Source organism: Homo sapiens, chromosome 17 (genome assembly GCF_000001405.40).
Source record: "Homo sapiens chromosome 17, GRCh38.p14 Primary Assembly".
In the NCBI taxonomy this organism is placed as follows: domain Eukaryota; kingdom Metazoa; phylum Chordata; class Mammalia; order Primates; family Hominidae; genus Homo; species Homo sapiens.
The window spans coordinates 17,809,970-17,824,816 of NC_000017.11; the positions used below are offsets into that span (position 1 = coordinate 17,809,970).

Here is a 14,847-nt window from a genome sequence, read left to right on the forward strand (position 1 = left end):
AGGCTGCCGTAGTAATCCACCCCAACGGCCGGAGGAGCCGCCGGAGCCCGCCTGCCCGCCCGCCGCCGAAGGAGAGGAGCCGCCTGCGCAGCCCCCGGGCCTTTGAGCTGCTCCCAGCGCTGGTCCAGAGCCGATCCTTGATCCGGGTCCCGGATCGTGGATCCGGCCGCCTAGGGCTCAGACTTGCGGCCCCGGGTTGGGAGGAAAACCCGTTCCGGAGCCGCCTGCTCCCGGAACCGGACGGCACAGGGCGTTCTTGCCCACCCCAGGGGCCAGGCTTGCGGAGGGGGAGCCCGCGGAGCGGCCAGACTCCCCGGGGCGCTCAGCCTCCGGCGAGGGTGGGAGACGGCTTTGTCCTGGGGACACTTTCCCTCTGGAATCTCAAGACGACGTGGCACACATTCCACGTGGGTGCTGCCGCCACCCCAGTCGGTCGTGGCGTGCAGCTGGGAGCCCTGGGCTTGGGGGTGGGGGTCGAAACAGTACTGGAAGAGGCGGAGGGCGGCTCCTAGCTCCGTGGACTAGGCGGGGGAGAAAGGAAGCCTTTCTGAGAGCGGGCTAGGCCGGCACTGGAGAGGCCGGAGCCTTTGGAACAAACCGTGCGGAACGCGTCCAGGGGCCTTCCCGCCCAGCCTTTGCCAGATCTCTCGTGCGGTTCGGGCAAAGCCGGGGTAGACCTGGGCTATGCTCAGTTAGGGGTTGCGGGATCCCCGAGTGTGGGCGGGACTGGGACACCCTTTGGCCTCTGTTTGTCCCCTTTCCAGTCCTCCACCCCACCCCTGGAGCCCAGCCTGGGAGCGCAAAACCCAAGAAGCGGCCAGAACGCACCTCCGGCTCCGGCGGACGCGCGACCGTTGTGCACCACCAGGGACCGCCGCGCCTACTCTGCACGGGAGCAGGGACAGCGCTAGATTTCGTGTACAAAACCTGTGTACCCCTCTATATATATGTTACATAGAATGTATATATGTTGGGAACATGCTCGCTTCTCCCGTGTGTCGCCGCCGTGCGTCGTGCGCCCGCAACAGAGCCCCAACCGGGCCTTTGCCGGGTAAGGGGCTACCGCGACGCCACTTGTCCACGCAGCCACCACCGGCCCGGGCCAGTCCCTGCCAGTCCGTCCGCCTGTCCGTCCGTGTCCTCAGCTCTGTCCACGCTTCGATAGGCCTGACGCAGCCCCCAGCCCAGGGCCGCCCTAGCAACTTCCTGTACATATGACTGTAAAATGGTAAACGTGTGTATTATATCTGGCCTCGTTATATAGTGTATATATATGTATACATATACATATATATAATATATATGAAGACTGTAAATGTTAAGACGACTAGTGTTCTTATTAGTATATTGCTTCACACTGAAGATTGTGTGTATCGAGCTGTTTCTAAAAGATGTTTATTTTCCTTAAGAGTAAAAAACAGTCATTGCATTCAGAAAAAAAAAAAAAAAAAAGTCAATAAAGATACAACGATTGTTTTGGAAAATCTGCAGCCCGTGGATTCCGACCAGATTCAGCTGGGAGCCGGGCCAGGCTTTAGGTTGGGGAATGGGAATGAAGGGAGGGGCTGGGGGGGGGGGCATGAATGGAGTCAGGGAGTCGGCCTTTCACAGAACAGGAAACCTCCCCCGCCCCTGTGCCCCCTCTCCAGTGTGGCGGCAGGTCGGGAGGGAGGAGGCTTCTTTGCTGTGAGATGACCAGGGGCCGGGATGGGGGAGGTGAGACGTGCCAGACTTCTTGCAGGGAGACCCAAGCTGTAGCTCCTGTCACACAACAGGTCCTGGAAGTCAGTCCATCCTCCCGTGCCACCCAGGGACCTGATGGGGACAGAGCTGGGAGGTGAGAAGGGACAACTGACCCCATGGAGGCCCTAAGGGTTGACACAGCCCAACCATGTGCCCTGGGAGCAGGGGGAACAGGTAGGCTGGAGGCCATACAGCCAGCCCTCCCCACTCCTCCCACTAACAAACAAACATCGGGAAGAGCTAAGTTAAAAGTTGTGTACCTTGTGGCCGGAGGGGGAGGGGAAGCCTTTCCCTAGGTGCTGGGGGAGGGCCCAAGCACTCTCACTAGTCAGCACATCCATCAGCTGAAGACACAAAACCCAGATTATAAATAATTTCATTTTTAATTCTCTGTACAAAACTTCTCAATCTATGAAAATAAAGTTTGCAAAAGGCAAAGTAGCACAGGAGCCTCAGGTCAGGAGGCTAAGCACGCTGACCTACACTATGTACACGTCTCTCTCCCACGACGGAGAGAGAGGCCTCTGGGGCAGAGCCCTGCTTGCAGTCCGGGAAAGCCAAGTTGGCTTCCGTCAGCACAGGGAAATGTACCCCTCTCTTCCCTGTACACAGGAGGAAAAAAGCCACTAAGGTGCCTGCAGAGCAAGGAGGGGGGCCCCCCAAAATGGCTCGGCCCCTGCAGTGCCCCGATCGGCCACCAGAGGTCAGCACCATCATGGCCGCCGGTCTTAGGGTCAAGATCGCGCCCCTCGGGCCTTCCACCGCGAAGGCACACAGCAGCCGCAGGTCGAACTGTGGAGGCCAGAGTCTCTTGCACTGCCTTCGGCCTTCAAAGCTTCGACGCAGGACAGAAGCTGCACGGGACCAAAGTGGCTAGAGACAGGGGTGCTGAGGCCGGGGACACGGGGTCTAGCTGGAAGTGACAGTGGTCCCACCGCCCAGGCGCATGAGCATCTGCTGACAGTCGTGCAGCAGCCGGCGATCGCCAAGCTTCTCGAGTGTGCGCGCCGCCTCAGCCAGCATGCCCACGCGCTGCCCGGGCGCCGACAGGAAGCCGGGGGGCAGGTAGCAGGAGGCCAGCAGCAAGGCCTCCGCGTGCTCCCGCCGCGTGGGCCGCGGCTCCAGCTCCGCCACCGCGCCTGCGCACACGAGGATGTGTCAGGGATGGGTCTCAAGCTGGCCACGCCCCCGCGGGAGCCCTGCCCACACACAAGCCACGGCACCAGCCGCCTGTACCTGGCACACAGGTACCTGGCGGGGGCCTGGCGGGTTCCCCTCTCCCCACCCTAGTCTCAGCCCACACACAAAGTCCACAGACTGAGTCACGCACGTGCAGTCATGTATCCCACAAATGACAGTCACCCCACTGATTCCTTGTGAAAGGAATTGTCATCAGGTAACCATCAAGAAGATGCTTGGTCTTTTTTTTTTTTTGAGACAGGGACTCTCCCTGTCACTCAGGCTCACTGCGGCCTCCAACTCCTGGGCTCAAGCTGTCCTCCCAACTGAGCCTCCCAAAGTGCTAGGTGTGAGCCACTGCGCCAGGCCTGTCTGTCCCGTCTGACACACACACAGCCTCCCTTGGTATCACATCCCATGTGCGCCCTTCCCTGCTGAGCAGACAGCACATCCCTGGTCAGCAGCTGCCCCCTCACCTCCTTTGCCACCGGGGCCTGCCCGCCGCCTCAGACTGCGGTCGAGGAGCTGGTGTGTCCGTGTGGGGCTGGCCCCCGCCATCAGCCGGGCCGTGGCCTCATGTAGGAACACCTGGGGGCCAGGAGAGTGGAGGCTCAGGGCTCTCCATCTCCACCACTGCCTGACTCCCCGTCTTGAGGACAGGGCCATCGGGCACTCACCCTCCGCATGGCGGGCCGGAAGCTCTGTGCCAGCCGCCTCAGGCTGCTCAGGTCCCGTTGGAAGCCACGCAGCTCAAGGGCGGAAGCCTGGGGCCTGCTGCTGGTGCCCTGGGCTGCTGGGGCCGGGGCCGGGGGCTGCTGCTGCCGCCACAGGCTGGTGCGCACCACAAGAAGCAGGTCACACAGGAACAGCTGCACGGCCTGGGGGTGGCAGGCAGGGCAGGGGTCACCAGGGCTCCAGCTCTGGGAGGGGCAGGATGGGGGCCCGTGGTGCCAGGGGCCGGCTCCGGGCTGCACTGCCGAGGCACTGCACCCGCCTCACACACGTGCAATGCAACAGCAATGCACCGCGGGGCCGCCCGCCTCTCTCGGCCCCCACACCCGCCACCGGCCCGGGAGCAGCTGTCCAGCCCTCCTGATGCAGGGCCTCCAAAGGGATCCTACCACACCATCCACCCCCCTCCTCCCAGGGATGGGGAAACTGAGGCCAGATAGGGGCAACCCCTCTCCTCTGGACAGAAGCCTTAGCCAAAAAGCAGGGTCTGCTGGACCCCCTATCCTGTGCTGCTTGGGCTAACCCCATGGTCTTCTGCAGCCCCTGGGGGCTGGGGAGAGGAACCAGGGAATGGAAAGCTGAATCCCCCAGCCCTGCCAGGCCCCTGACCCCACCCCTCACCTTGTCAATGGAGCTGCTGGCTGGTGTGGTAGCCAGGCTGTCCTGCAGGTACCCACTGGCCTTCTCACAGATGGTCAGGCTGGCTGGACCAGACTCTGCCTTGGCACAGCCCAGCAGGGCCCGGGCAGCCTTGAAGGAGTGCAGAGCTGCCCTGGGCAGGGGTCTCCTGTTGGGACCAGGGCAGAAGAGTGCCAGTCAGACCAGTCCACAAGCCCTGGCTGAGTGCCCCCCACTTCCCTGGCTCGAGTTCCCTGAGGAAAAAAGGTGGTGACTCCTCCTGCACAGAACAAAGGCTGAGTGAGGCACAGTGCCCAGGGGATGAGGAAGGCTGAGCCCGGGACCAGGCAGGAGGAACCTGCCGTGCACTCACTCAGACTCCTGCAGCACCCGGGGCAGGTGCTCCACCAGCGGGCACAGCCGCTCAGCCGCCTCCTCATCCCGCCGCAGCCAGTGGATCACCACAGCTGTCAGAGAGGCCCACCACTTGGCCACCGGGTCTACGCCTGCAGAAGAGGGAGGGTCCCCTGAACCCTCAGTCACGCTGCACGGGGGAGCTGAGAAGGGAGCCAGGACAGGGGCCGGGGACTCACCGGTGGTGGTGGCCATGCTGGAACTGATGGAGAAGCTGTAGGCAGGAGCCCCCGCAGCATCAGAACAGCTGTTCAGCAGCTGCAGGTACCCGAGGGCATCCGAGAATTCCCTGTGGAAGGAGAGAGCTGGCTGTCGGAACAGATGGCAGGGGTCCTAGGAGGGTGCTCCCCACCTGCCCTCCAGAGTACAGCCTGGCCCCTGGCTCTGCAAAGTGCCACTGTCTCCTCCCACAGGCTGGTGGGGAGAGGAAACTCAGAGAGGAATGAAGCGTGCATGGCACGCACGGTAGCCCAGCTCTGGGCTCTCTCCACAGGGTTGAGGCCAGAGCTATTCTCAGAATCCCGCCGGAGGGGCCTTGCCTGGAGGAGGGCACAACGACACTTACTTGTCCCCATCAGCTGACCCAGGGCTGGGGTTGGGCTGGGTCACACAGTTCAGTGCTCGCTCTAAGAGATGTTCCCGGAATAGCTGAGTCACCTGGGCCAGGGGGTCCACTGTGGAGAGGAGGAGGTGAGTGGGGTGGGGAGCAGGGCCCCACCCTCCTCTCCAAGCTAAGGGCTTTTTCCTGGGTGGGCTGGGGCCACACCTAGGGCCACTGGGAAGTGCCGGCATGCCCCTGGGTGCAGCCCCTGCCAAGGACAGGGGAAAGCGGGTGGACATAACTATCACCAGCACCAGCCTTGGCCAGGAGACAACACTGAGGCCTGCCCTACACTGCTTCCAAAGGAAAACCGACTTGAGAAGATGCCATTGTTGGCTCCGCTTCCTTACTCCACAGCGGCACTGCCTGGGGTCACTTCTCCAATTAGCCATCTGCCCATCAATCCCTGCATGTGCTTCTGAAAGCCCCAATGGGAACGAGAGGCACCCAGGCCTTTCCCTTCCTGCAACCCCCACAGCAACAACCCATGGCAGGGAGAAGGACTGGGGTGGCCAGAGACAGCCAGAGATTCAGGCGACAAGGGACAGGACAGGAATGAGGATGAGGGACAGGAGAGGGGACAGGGAAGGGGTAAGAGAGCACCTGGGTTCCCGGCCAAGCTGTACAGGCTCTCCCATGGGGTACTGAGCACGGACCAGTCCCCATCCACGAAGAAACGGTGGCCCACGGGGTGGCAGAGCCACTGCATGGCAGGAGGCACTGAGCCACTCTGTGCCAGGCAGGCCTGGCGGGCACTGCTCAGGAAGAAGCGCTGTAGGGGAGGGTACTGGGCTGTCACAGTGGACACAGCCTGGGGCCAGACCCCGGGCCGAGTCCCAGCTTGGCCTGGAGTCCCCCTGGTAACCACTGCCACATCCCGTGTAGCTCTTACCCAGGGAGCCTCTGGAGAGAGCTGCAGGGATAAGCCCCCAGCCCCCCAACCCACTCACTGTCAGAAAATGCAAGGCCCGTGGGAGACTGGTCTTCACTCTCAATGCAGCCGCCACATAGATCTCGGCCAGCGTCGCCACAGACACGGCATCCCCTGCACACTCTGCCAGGTTCAGGGCACTCAGCGCCAGGTTGGTGGCAGTGAGGTGCCCGCCTGTGTGCTTCCCTGGAAGGCAAGCAGGCATGAGGCTGTGGGTGGAGCACAGGCAGCAGGGAGCACCTCGGAGCCCGCCCCACGCTCAGTCCTACCCATGGTGTGCAGCTGGTGCAGCTTATGGTAGACCAGGGCTGCGTCTCGGGCGCTGGCGCTAGCATCCACTCGCAGAGCACAGTCCTGCTGCAGGCCCCCTGCCCGGCCTGCCAGCCAGCGGCCCACCCAGAGACGCTGCAGCAGGTGACGGATGAGGTTCCAGAGGAGGCTACAAGCCAGGTCCAGGTGGGAGGTGGGCAGGGGCCGGCCCAGTGCCCGCAGGGCCAGCCACAGCTGCTGGGCAGCCTGGGCAAAGTCTCCCTGTGGATGAGGGTTTTCCAGGTGAGAAAAGTGAGGTCAGAGCAGCTGCCCCAAAGCTCAGAAGAGCCGTCCACAGCAGGCTCTGGAGGGGTGGTGGGGGTCTGCGGATGCGTGGCTAGGCACAGGGAGGACGGGACAGATTCATGGTGTGCACAGGGAGCAGGAACAAGGGTTGACACCCAGCACCTTCACAGCCTGGGGTCCCTGCCCTGCCCACTCTGCCGGGGCCAGCCCCTTACCCGGGCCAGGTCCAGGTCAGCCTGCTTGCGATGCCTCCAGAAGTACACGGCGGGGCCTGAGTGGGGCCGTGTGACTGGCTCACCGTAGACAAAGAGAAGCACCAAGGAGACGAGCACCAACAGCCCATTGAGCAGCCAGACCACTGGGGGCAGCAGCCACTGGGCCCAGCCAGGGCCATCTATGGACAGAGGGAAAGCTGGGGACACAGCTCCCAGGAAATCCAGAGCCCCAAGTTCACAAGCCTGGGGGCTCACCCCGAGTGTCCCTCCCAAAGATGCCCAGGCTGGCCGGTCCCACCTCTGCTCTCGGTGCCCAGCACGTTGCGCCCAGGGCTATGGTAGACGCTGGTGGTATCTGAGGGGCTGGGAAGCCCCCGGGCCCCCAGCAAGGAGGCCAAGGGGTTGCAGGACAGGCAGAGGAAGACGAGCGTGCACAGGGCCAGGCGGGAGCGGTCCAGCATGCCCCGGCTGTGCAGAGACGGCCGCTGCTCTGGCTTTGCCTGGTGGGGTTGGGCAGGGTGGTGAGGGCAGAATCGGAGGGACCCCAGAGAGCATGGGGCTGGGAAGGGGGGGGTCAGGATTCTGCCCACCTTACTGTGGGACCCCACGTGGCTCCAGGCCTCAGTTATTCTGTCTATGAAATGGGAGGTAGGATCTGTTAGGGTCTTCCCGGCCCTGTCATGAGGCTCAGAGGATATGGCTGGGAGTGGGGAAGGGGGCACCGTGGCAGGGCCCAACCTTGCTGTCCTCAAAGACTGGGCTGTCAGGCTCCGAGTCACTGCCACTGCCACCGCTGCCACTGCCCCTGCTGCCAAGGGACAAGGGGCTGCTCTGGAAAGGTGAGCCAGCATCCGAGGGGGGTGGGGTCAGTGTGTCCTCCACCTCAGTCTTCACGCCCTCCATGAGCACGTCTGTGTTCCCTCCACTGCCACAGGCCGACACCAGATCCTTCAGAGATTCTGTGGGCCGAAAGGAACAGAGCCAGGAGTAAAGGCTGGATATGTGACCCCAAATCAGAGCCTAGGCCCTTGGAGGCCTAGGGACTACTGTAGCTCCTAAAGCTAGCCCAGGACGCTTTGATGGGGCTGGGTTAGGGCCAAAGGGAGGCACCAGGTCTCTTTCAGGACCAGAGGTAACCAAGGGACTAGAGCTGAATGCAGGGCTACAGCCAAGGGTGAGGTGGGCAGGGCAGAGGGTGGGCCAGAACCAAGGGTGGGGTGGGGCTAGGGATGGGGTGGGGCCGGGAGGTGGAGCAAGGCTAGAGAAGAGGCCAGACTGGAGCTCAATAAAGCCAGGACTCACTGCTTTTGTGGACAGCAGTGCGCAGACTTAGGTTCTCCTGCTTGAGTTTCTGGTTGCTGTGTTGCAGAAAGCGAATGTAGTCGATGGCCTTGCGCAAGACAGCAGATTTATTCAGCTGCACGGTGTGGGAGGGAGGGGGAGCGCACAGGTGGCCTGTCAGGTCGGGGGTTGTGGGGTTGGAGAGCCCTAGCAAGGGGGTGCGGAGCTGCTTTGCAACATTACTGCCTCAGGACCTTTGCACTTGTTCCTTCTACCTGAACCGTTCCTCGCCTAGTAGCACCCACCTCCCAGGCCGGGCATAGGGTTAGAATGTAAGATGCAGACAGCAGGGTCTGGCTAGCTGCTGCTGTGCCTGCCGCCATCTCAGGGAGGCCTTCCCTGGCTACCACCAGGGGACCCTCACCATCCTCTTCCTGCTTTCTCTGCAACGAGCCAAACGTGGTGGTCTCGAGCACTTATTCATCCTGCCTACTGTCCATCTCCCCCACCAGAAGGTCGGCTCTTCTTTGAGGGACAATTTTTGTCTGTCTTGTTCATTGCTGCATCCCCAATGCCTAGCACAGCCCCACCTTTATTGAAGAGGCCTGCAAACCAGTTTAACTAAATAAACGAGGCTGGCCAGGCCTGGGGAGGCTGAATTCCAATTCCCTGCTTGTCCAGGCTCAGTCTCACTCCCTCTCTTCCTTCCAGTTGCCCCTGATCTGTTCCTTCCTAGGGACACCCCGGTCTGTGCCCCTGCAGGCCTCTCCACACCTTTGCCTCAGTGCCCACCACCAGATCCTTGAGCTCAATGATTTTGTCATTGATGGAGGAGCGGTAGCGCTTCTCAATGGCGTTGTGGGCTGTGCGCTTCTCTCCACGGCTCTGGGCAGAGGCCGGGGCCTTGCTGCCAGCTGCGAGCCGGTTGATAGGCAGCTTCTCCGCATCTACGACCAGTGGGACTGTTGCCAAGATGGTTCCGCCACTCACCAGGGTCTGCAGGGCCAGGCACATGTTACCAGGTGGGCATGTGTGTGTGTGTGTAGACCCCACTCCCTTATGCCCTGCCCACGTCACCCACCGGCAAAGGCCCTGTCTGCACAGTGGTGCCAGAGACCAGGGGACTGAGACCTGCCGCCTTCACAGTGGCTCCGTCTGTCTTCATGGCTGTCAGAAGCAGCGAGTCTGCCTTGATGAAGTGGGGCTGCAGCAGGACCTGAGGGTGGGAGAGGCTTGGCTGTAAGCTGTGTGTCTGGGCTGGGGCTGCCCCCTCCCCAACCCCTGGCCAGACCCCCTCACCGGGACCTGCTGGATCTGCGAGGTCACAGTGGTCGTTACAGGGGCTGCCGTGGGGGCAGCTGTGACTGTCAGTAGCTGCTGGGGGACCACACTCTGGACCTGGGTGTGCAAGGAGACGGGCGGGACCCCTGGCGGGGAAGCCAGTGGCAGGCCAGGCAGCGGCTGCTGGGTGTTCCCGGGAGGGCTTCCTGCAGAAATAAAGCATGGGGCTGCAGACACAGACCTCCCTCTCCCACTTTCAACCTGCTCTTCAGGTCTCTATCACCGACTGGCCTTGGATGAGTCATTGCCCCATGTGGCTTCCTATGGACAGTCCCTGCCTGGGCTCTGATGCAAATGCACTGGCTTCAAGCCAGGCCTCCAGTGCGAGGTTGCGCCTACCCCGGCAACAAGCACACCAGGACTGCTAGTAACAGGGCATCTCAAGCAGCCGAGTGGAGCCCCAGTTTCTAAAGCCTGCACAGACCTCTACTCACATCACAGCAGAAGCTTCTTCCTGTGCTCCTGGAAGCCCCACCCCGGGTGTCCCCTCCCGCCACACATCCCCCTTACCTGTAGAGAAGCCTCCCGGAGGGCTGGGGTAGCCTAACACAGGGGTGGAGCTGAACTGCGGTGGGGCTGGGGCTGGGAAGCTCTGTGGCAGGAGGGCCCCTGGCAGGGGCTGTGGGGTGGGGGTCTGCAGGATGCTCAGTGGCACTGACTCTTCCTTGATACCAGGCCCAGGGGAGAAAGCGGGCATGGACGGGTACATCTTCAATGGAGTGGGTGCAGGCTGGGGAGGGGACAGGGGTGAGGGCGCTGCCTGCGGCCCGCTCAGGAAGGCTTCAAGAGAGGAGCTCAATGTGGCAGGAGGTGGAGACAAGCTGCCTGGGGAGCTGGTATCGGGGCTGGCAGGGTCTGTGCCCCCTGCCCCACTCCCAGCATAGGGTGGGTCAAATAGGCCAGGGAAGTCACTGTCTTGGTTGTTGATAAGCTGAAGCATGTCTGTGAAAAGGAGAAGAGGGTGCGTGAGTGAGGCAGAGACTGACCCCCAAACAGGGCATCACACACATCCAAACACAACCTTATTTGCACAACCCTTGTTGGCACACAGCTGTATGTGTGGGCAATGCCACCAGGACAGAAAGCCACCCACAGGAGCTGGTGTTCCCGGACATACAGCCATTTTGCGAGCACCTGTGCTGTCTAAAGCAATGCCTGCTGCTGCGAGTGCATCACAATACCTGGACAAGGTGGGCACCACAAGGCTCACAATCTTGCCCCACAGCTAGGCTGGGGCTGAGCCCAGGGTCGGGCCCAAGACTGCAGACTTCAGAGCCTGAGCTCTTCCCACCATCCGGTATTTGCCCAAACATCTAGAAACATCCTTAGTCCACAGCAAACAGCAGGCTCACATTCATTCACTCATCCAGTGAGCATGTGCTGAGTGCTGAGTGCCCACACTATGCCAGGCACTGCTCCCGGCTGTGAATAAGGGAAATCCCTGCCTAGAACTAAGCAACTTTCTGGGGAGCTGGGAGTGTCCTGTAGCTTGATGTGGATGGTGGTAAACTTTTACTCCTGTCTTCATGGGGCATGCATTCTACAAGACATCCACCTCTGAGTCCACACACATACACACACACACACACACACACATACACACTGCACCGTGGACTCAGACCAGCTTCCAAGCATTTGCCCATGAGGTGACCAACCCTTCCAGACAGCTCTCCTGCCCTCTCCACAGTCCATCACCCCCAACCCCACACAGAACAAAAGGAATCCAGAGGCCCAGGTGCAGCCTTCCCTGGCTCCACTTGGGGCCTGTTTCTCAATGTGTGAAACGGGGGGCACGCCTCCATCCACAGATCCAGCAGCTCCAGTCTTTGGGATGGAGATGGGGATGGGGAGGGAGGAGCAGTCTAGGGCAGAGGGGGTCTTCATATAGGAGCGATGGGCCCCACACCCCACCATTGGCCACTCCTGGTCTCATCCTAAAACGCACCCCCAGCAGGATCCTCTGGGCACTGAATTTGACAAAGCAACTTAGAAACTGCTGAGGAGTGGGTGATTTTCCCCTCCCCTCAGTTTACAGGGGGAAGAGGGGTGCAGAGAGAGGCAGGATTGCCTTGAGGCCCTGAAGAAGTGGTGGGATCCTCTGTGACCAAGGACCAACTGTGCAGCCTGGGCCCACTCTTCCTAGGGCAGCGCAGGATCCCCAAAGAGAATGGCAGACAGGGAAGTCCCCCAAGAGGACCCCAGATCAGAGCAGGGTCCTCATCCACACTAGAAGGACTCTAAGGGTGGGGGCCCATGTCAGAAGGGTGGGTCTGGTCCAAAAGCCAGGCCCGCTGTGGGGCTACCCACATTGATGGGGCCAGGCTAGACCCCTAATCCTCACCCACAGCTGAGAGGGTGATGTGATCATTGGCCCCATTCTACACGTGAAGAAACTGAGCTGTAGAGAGGTGACTTACTGGCCTAAGTTCTTATAGAGTCAGAGACTCAACTGAGTCCAGACCCTATTTTGACTCCAATGCCCCAACCACTGGCCACTACCCTAGACTACCTCAAAAGATTAGCTCACCTCATCTTGGAGACAAGAAAAGACACTGAGGCTCAGGGAGGACCACAAGCAGCCCAAGAGCATGCAGTGGGGTTCAAACCCAGGTCTACAAAATCCCAAATCTATTGTCTCTCTGCCTTTTCTTGCCCCACTAAGAAGCCAAGAGCCAGGCTGCCATCACCAACCCATTACTCAGTGGAACAGACCAAGGCTTAGGGCCAAGCCAGCTGCTGGCCACATGGCCAACCAGTGTGTCTCTGTGTAGAGTTCTGGGCTCAAGTCCAGGCTTTGCCTGCAGCCAAGTAGCCTCAAGACCCAGGCCTGGCCACTCAGGGCTTTGATTTCATCTCTGTAAAAGCAAGTGCTGTCTGTCCTGACTCCTTCCTCCTCATACAGACTGGGACACACTCCCACCTCAGCCCCACCTGGCCAAGGGCCCTCTCCCCCAGCTGGTGACTAGCAGCCTATCTGGCTCAGCCCAGGGCCCTCTAACCCACTCGTGGTGGCACCCACTGGGTCAGAATGCTCTACAGGACCCATGGGGGCCTCCAGTGCTCTCAGGATCCCCAGCCTGAGCTCCCAGCCCTGCCCACCACCAGCTTGAAGTGGAGCCTGGACCAACAGCCTCCTCTCACTGGCCCCAGTTTCCTCATCTGTACAACAGAAAAGACTAAACCCCTTTTGGTACGGCTGCCCGAGGCTTTGCTTGGCAGGCAGCTGGCACCGAGTGGAGACCCAACATTGCCTACTGACAGGTACCCAGGCAGGGAAGCTACTGCAGGAGGGGAATTTCCTAGAGCAGTTGGCAGAACAGGATGGGGTGGCAGCCCCAGTCTTCCTGGCTTCTCAAGTAGAAACTCTCCTGGTTTGTGGACCCCCCAGGTCACAAGTCATCAAGTCATAATGGACTTTCAACTGCAGGGTTTCCCATCCCTTTACCCCAGTCCGTGTGAGCCTCTTCGATAGATGGGGGAAACTGAGGCCTGAAAGAAAAACTGACAATTTTGACAATCTAGGGCTCCCACTGTCTTCCTGAAAAGTCTAAGATGCCCACAATAGGCAGGGGTGCTGAATAGGGCAGACGCTGTGGCAGAGGGACAACGGGCCCTCCTCCCTGCTTCCTCCTGGTCCTGTCCCAAAGCGGGTGCAGAGAATGTAGAGAAGACCACCCTCTCCCTCCAAACCCTCTTAGGTCGGGATGCTGCTTTTGGGTCTCTAAGCAAACCCTTCCCCCTTGAGTTGCAGGGGACACTAATTTGGTTGGAGGTAGCCCTCCACTTCCCCAGCGAGCTGGTAACTGTCACACCTTCTCCCTCGGGAAGGGGCTCTTTCCTGCTCAAGTTGCGTAGCCCGCATGCCCGCCCACCCCAGGAGAACCTGCAGGAGACGGAGGCATTGTATAAAGGGCTGGTGGGGAGGCCTCCAAAAATACCTTCGAAAGTGCAATCCATGGCTCCGCGATCTGCGCCCGCCCTTGGGGCGTCCAGGCCGTTGGCCCTACCCCTCCCCGCGCCGACTTCACCTGTCAAGGCGCGGCGGATTTTTGAAGCCGTTGAGCGCTGCGGCGCGCCCGCCCCGCCCCGCCCCGCCCCCAGCCCCGCCCCAGCCCCGCCCCGCCTGCAGGTCCCGCCCCGCCCCGCCCTTCGGGGCTGCGGGCCGGGCATGGGGTGAGCGCGCGCGGCCAATCAGCGGCCGCGCTGCCGCCTCGCTAGGGCCCGGCCCCGGCCCCCGCCCCACCTCCCCACGGCGGCGGGGGCTCGAGTTTCACCCCGCGGCGCTGAATGGGGTTGGGGTTACTAGCGGACGTCCGCCTTTAACCCGCTCGGTGCCAGCGTCTGCCGGGGTTACTGGCGGTCACTGGCCCTCAGCTCCCGCCCCCTTCGTTAAAGGGTCAAAGCAGAGAAGTCCTGGCCCAACACACCAGAACTCTGTGTTCGAAATCACTGGTTCGCTGGCACCCTGAGCGAGCCTTAACCGCTCCAACCCTCCGTTTACTCCTCCAGAAAACAGGACAGTCATTATCTCCCTGGCGTCGAATGGTAGAAGGGAGATAATATGGGTGCAGCACTTAGTACGCAAGAAGCGTTTAATTAAGGCCAAGGGCTGCCGAGTGGCAGCTGCGGTGGGTGCAGGGACCTCCCCCTTCTAGGGCAGCCCCAGGAAGGGGCCACCCCTCACCACAGCGGGGCTGATGGTCTGGGATGAGGCCACTCCTGAAAACAGGTCACTTCCGGGAAACTGAGGCCTGGAAATAAGGGTTTCCTGACTGCCAGCACCGATGTCCCTCTGCCAGATGGGTGAAGTCTGCCCCTCCCCCTCAAGGCCTCACAACCCAGCAGTCACCAAGTGAGTCCCGACCCACTATTCATTGTAGGGCCCTGGGAAGCCAGGAAGGGCTGCAGTCCCTAGGACAGAAGATGGGTAAGGAAGGGGTGACAGGCTCTAGGGTTCTTTTGAGGAGGTGCCTGGGCCTGTCTTCCCTCTTTTGTCAAAGGTAAAAGTTACACACACACACACACACAAAGTGATCAGAGCCTGGCCAGTTGATTTTGCAGCCAAGTAGACCACCAGCAAAGCCTGCCTCTGCCCCAAACTGCAGGCCAGCGCCTCTGCCTGGTCCACACCCCAGTTGGCTGCAACCTGAGAGGGTGCCTGAACCCTGGGCAGACCCAGCGACTCAGCAGTCCATTGGGGGCTGGGGTCCCTGCGGCCTCAACCTTGCTCTCTATTC

At 61.0% G+C, this 14,847-nt stretch overlaps 2 protein-coding genes and 2 non-coding genes across 29 annotated transcripts in view, besides 7 other annotated features; 1 reads left to right on the forward strand and 3 right to left on the reverse strand.

Annotated features, from left to right (window-relative positions):
• RAI1 (retinoic acid induced 1) overlaps positions 1 to 1,484 on the forward strand; it is a 129,996-nt gene extending 128,512 nt beyond the window's left edge. For all 8 annotated transcript variants that reach the window (XM_047435151.1, XM_047435152.1, NM_030665.4 and 5 more), the window contains one exon: positions 1 to 1,484. In XM_047435151.1, coding sequence (XP_047291107.1) covers positions 1 to 12 — 12 coding nt within the window. In that variant the 3' untranslated portion in view covers positions 13 to 1,484.
• The window catches only part of SREBF1 (sterol regulatory element binding transcription factor 1), a 25,653-nt gene continuing 12,170 nt past the window's right edge, over positions 1,365 to 14,847 (reverse strand). Inside the window, exons 2-21 of one of the 19 annotated variants that reach the window (NR_170945.1) lie at positions 13,549 to 13,638; positions 10,121 to 10,552; positions 9,569 to 9,756; positions 9,351 to 9,485; positions 9,044 to 9,265; positions 8,291 to 8,405; positions 7,727 to 7,947; positions 7,287 to 7,488; positions 6,989 to 7,167; positions 6,488 to 6,749; positions 6,238 to 6,404; positions 5,891 to 6,059; positions 5,252 to 5,360; positions 4,866 to 4,975; positions 4,646 to 4,778; positions 4,276 to 4,441; positions 3,600 to 3,800; positions 3,399 to 3,510; positions 2,004 to 2,087; positions 1,365 to 1,815 (exon numbers count right to left, since the gene is read on the reverse strand). Coding sequence is in view for 15 of the 19 variants with exons in the window: in NM_001005291.3 (NP_001005291.1) it covers positions 2,653 to 2,882; positions 3,399 to 3,510; positions 3,600 to 3,800; positions 4,276 to 4,441; positions 4,646 to 4,778; positions 4,866 to 4,975; positions 5,252 to 5,360; positions 5,891 to 6,059; positions 6,238 to 6,404; positions 6,488 to 6,749; positions 6,989 to 7,167; positions 7,287 to 7,488; positions 7,727 to 7,947; positions 8,291 to 8,405; positions 9,044 to 9,265; positions 9,351 to 9,485; positions 9,569 to 9,756; positions 10,121 to 10,552; positions 13,549 to 13,638 (3,443 nt within the window). In the remaining 4 variants the exon portion in view is untranslated. Of the gene's footprint in view, positions 2,883 to 3,398; positions 3,511 to 3,599; positions 3,801 to 4,275; positions 4,442 to 4,645; positions 4,976 to 5,251; positions 5,361 to 5,890; positions 6,060 to 6,237; positions 6,405 to 6,487; positions 6,750 to 6,988; positions 7,168 to 7,286; positions 7,489 to 7,578; positions 7,623 to 7,726; positions 7,948 to 8,290; positions 8,406 to 9,043; positions 9,266 to 9,350; positions 9,486 to 9,568; positions 9,757 to 10,120; positions 10,553 to 13,548; positions 13,662 to 14,847 lie in introns of those variants that run through there. The other 18 variants (NR_170990.1, NR_170944.1, NR_170943.1 and 15 more) reach the window with 18 other exon arrangements.
• Positions 2,788 to 3,346: an enhancer, noted in NCBI's record as "H3K27ac-H3K4me1 hESC enhancer chr17:17716071-17716629 (GRCh37/hg19 assembly coordinates)". NCBI's record gives its function as "activates a minimal SCP1, AML or CMV promoter by ChIP-STARR-seq in primed H9 embryonic stem cells {active_cell/tissue: H9 hESC(primed)}" and the evidence as "EXISTENCE:reporter gene assay evidence [ECO:0000049][PMID:30033119]".
• On the reverse strand, positions 3,511 to 3,576 carry MIR6777 (microRNA 6777). The gene has a single exon (NR_106835.1). It is a non-coding gene; the product is annotated as a microRNA 6777 (primary transcript).
• On the reverse strand, positions 3,867 to 3,962 carry MIR33B (microRNA 33b). Its single transcript, NR_030361.1, has one exon. It is a non-coding gene; the product is annotated as a microRNA 33b (primary transcript).
• Positions 8,786 to 9,506: an enhancer, noted in NCBI's record as "H3K4me1 hESC enhancer chr17:17722069-17722789 (GRCh37/hg19 assembly coordinates)". NCBI's record gives its function as "activates a minimal SCP1, AML or CMV promoter by ChIP-STARR-seq in primed H9 embryonic stem cells {active_cell/tissue: H9 hESC(primed)}" and the evidence as "EXISTENCE:reporter gene assay evidence [ECO:0000049][PMID:30033119]".
• Positions 9,784 to 9,833: an enhancer, noted in NCBI's record as "active region_11811". NCBI's record gives its function as "activates an Ori minimal core promoter by ATAC-STARR-seq in GM12878 lymphoblastoid cells {active_cell/tissue: GM12878}" and the evidence as "EXISTENCE:reporter gene assay evidence [ECO:0000049][PMID:35858748]".
• Positions 13,450 to 13,600: a silencer, noted in NCBI's record as "fragment chr17:17726733-17726883 (GRCh37/hg19 assembly coordinates)". NCBI's record gives its function as "represses an EF-1alpha promoter that drives an FKBP-Casp9 reporter gene in an ReSE screen in K562 erythroleukemia cells {active_cell/tissue: K562}" and the evidence as "EXISTENCE:reporter gene assay evidence [ECO:0000049][PMID:32094911]".
• Positions 13,672 to 14,021: a silencer, noted in NCBI's record as "silent region_8257". NCBI's record gives its function as "represses an Ori minimal core promoter by ATAC-STARR-seq in GM12878 lymphoblastoid cells {active_cell/tissue: GM12878}" and the evidence as "EXISTENCE:reporter gene assay evidence [ECO:0000049][PMID:35858748]".
• Positions 14,302 to 14,351: an enhancer, noted in NCBI's record as "active region_11812". NCBI's record gives its function as "activates an Ori minimal core promoter by ATAC-STARR-seq in GM12878 lymphoblastoid cells {active_cell/tissue: GM12878}" and the evidence as "EXISTENCE:reporter gene assay evidence [ECO:0000049][PMID:35858748]".
• Positions 14,362 to 14,541: an enhancer, noted in NCBI's record as "active region_11813". NCBI's record gives its function as "activates an Ori minimal core promoter by ATAC-STARR-seq in GM12878 lymphoblastoid cells {active_cell/tissue: GM12878}" and the evidence as "EXISTENCE:reporter gene assay evidence [ECO:0000049][PMID:35858748]".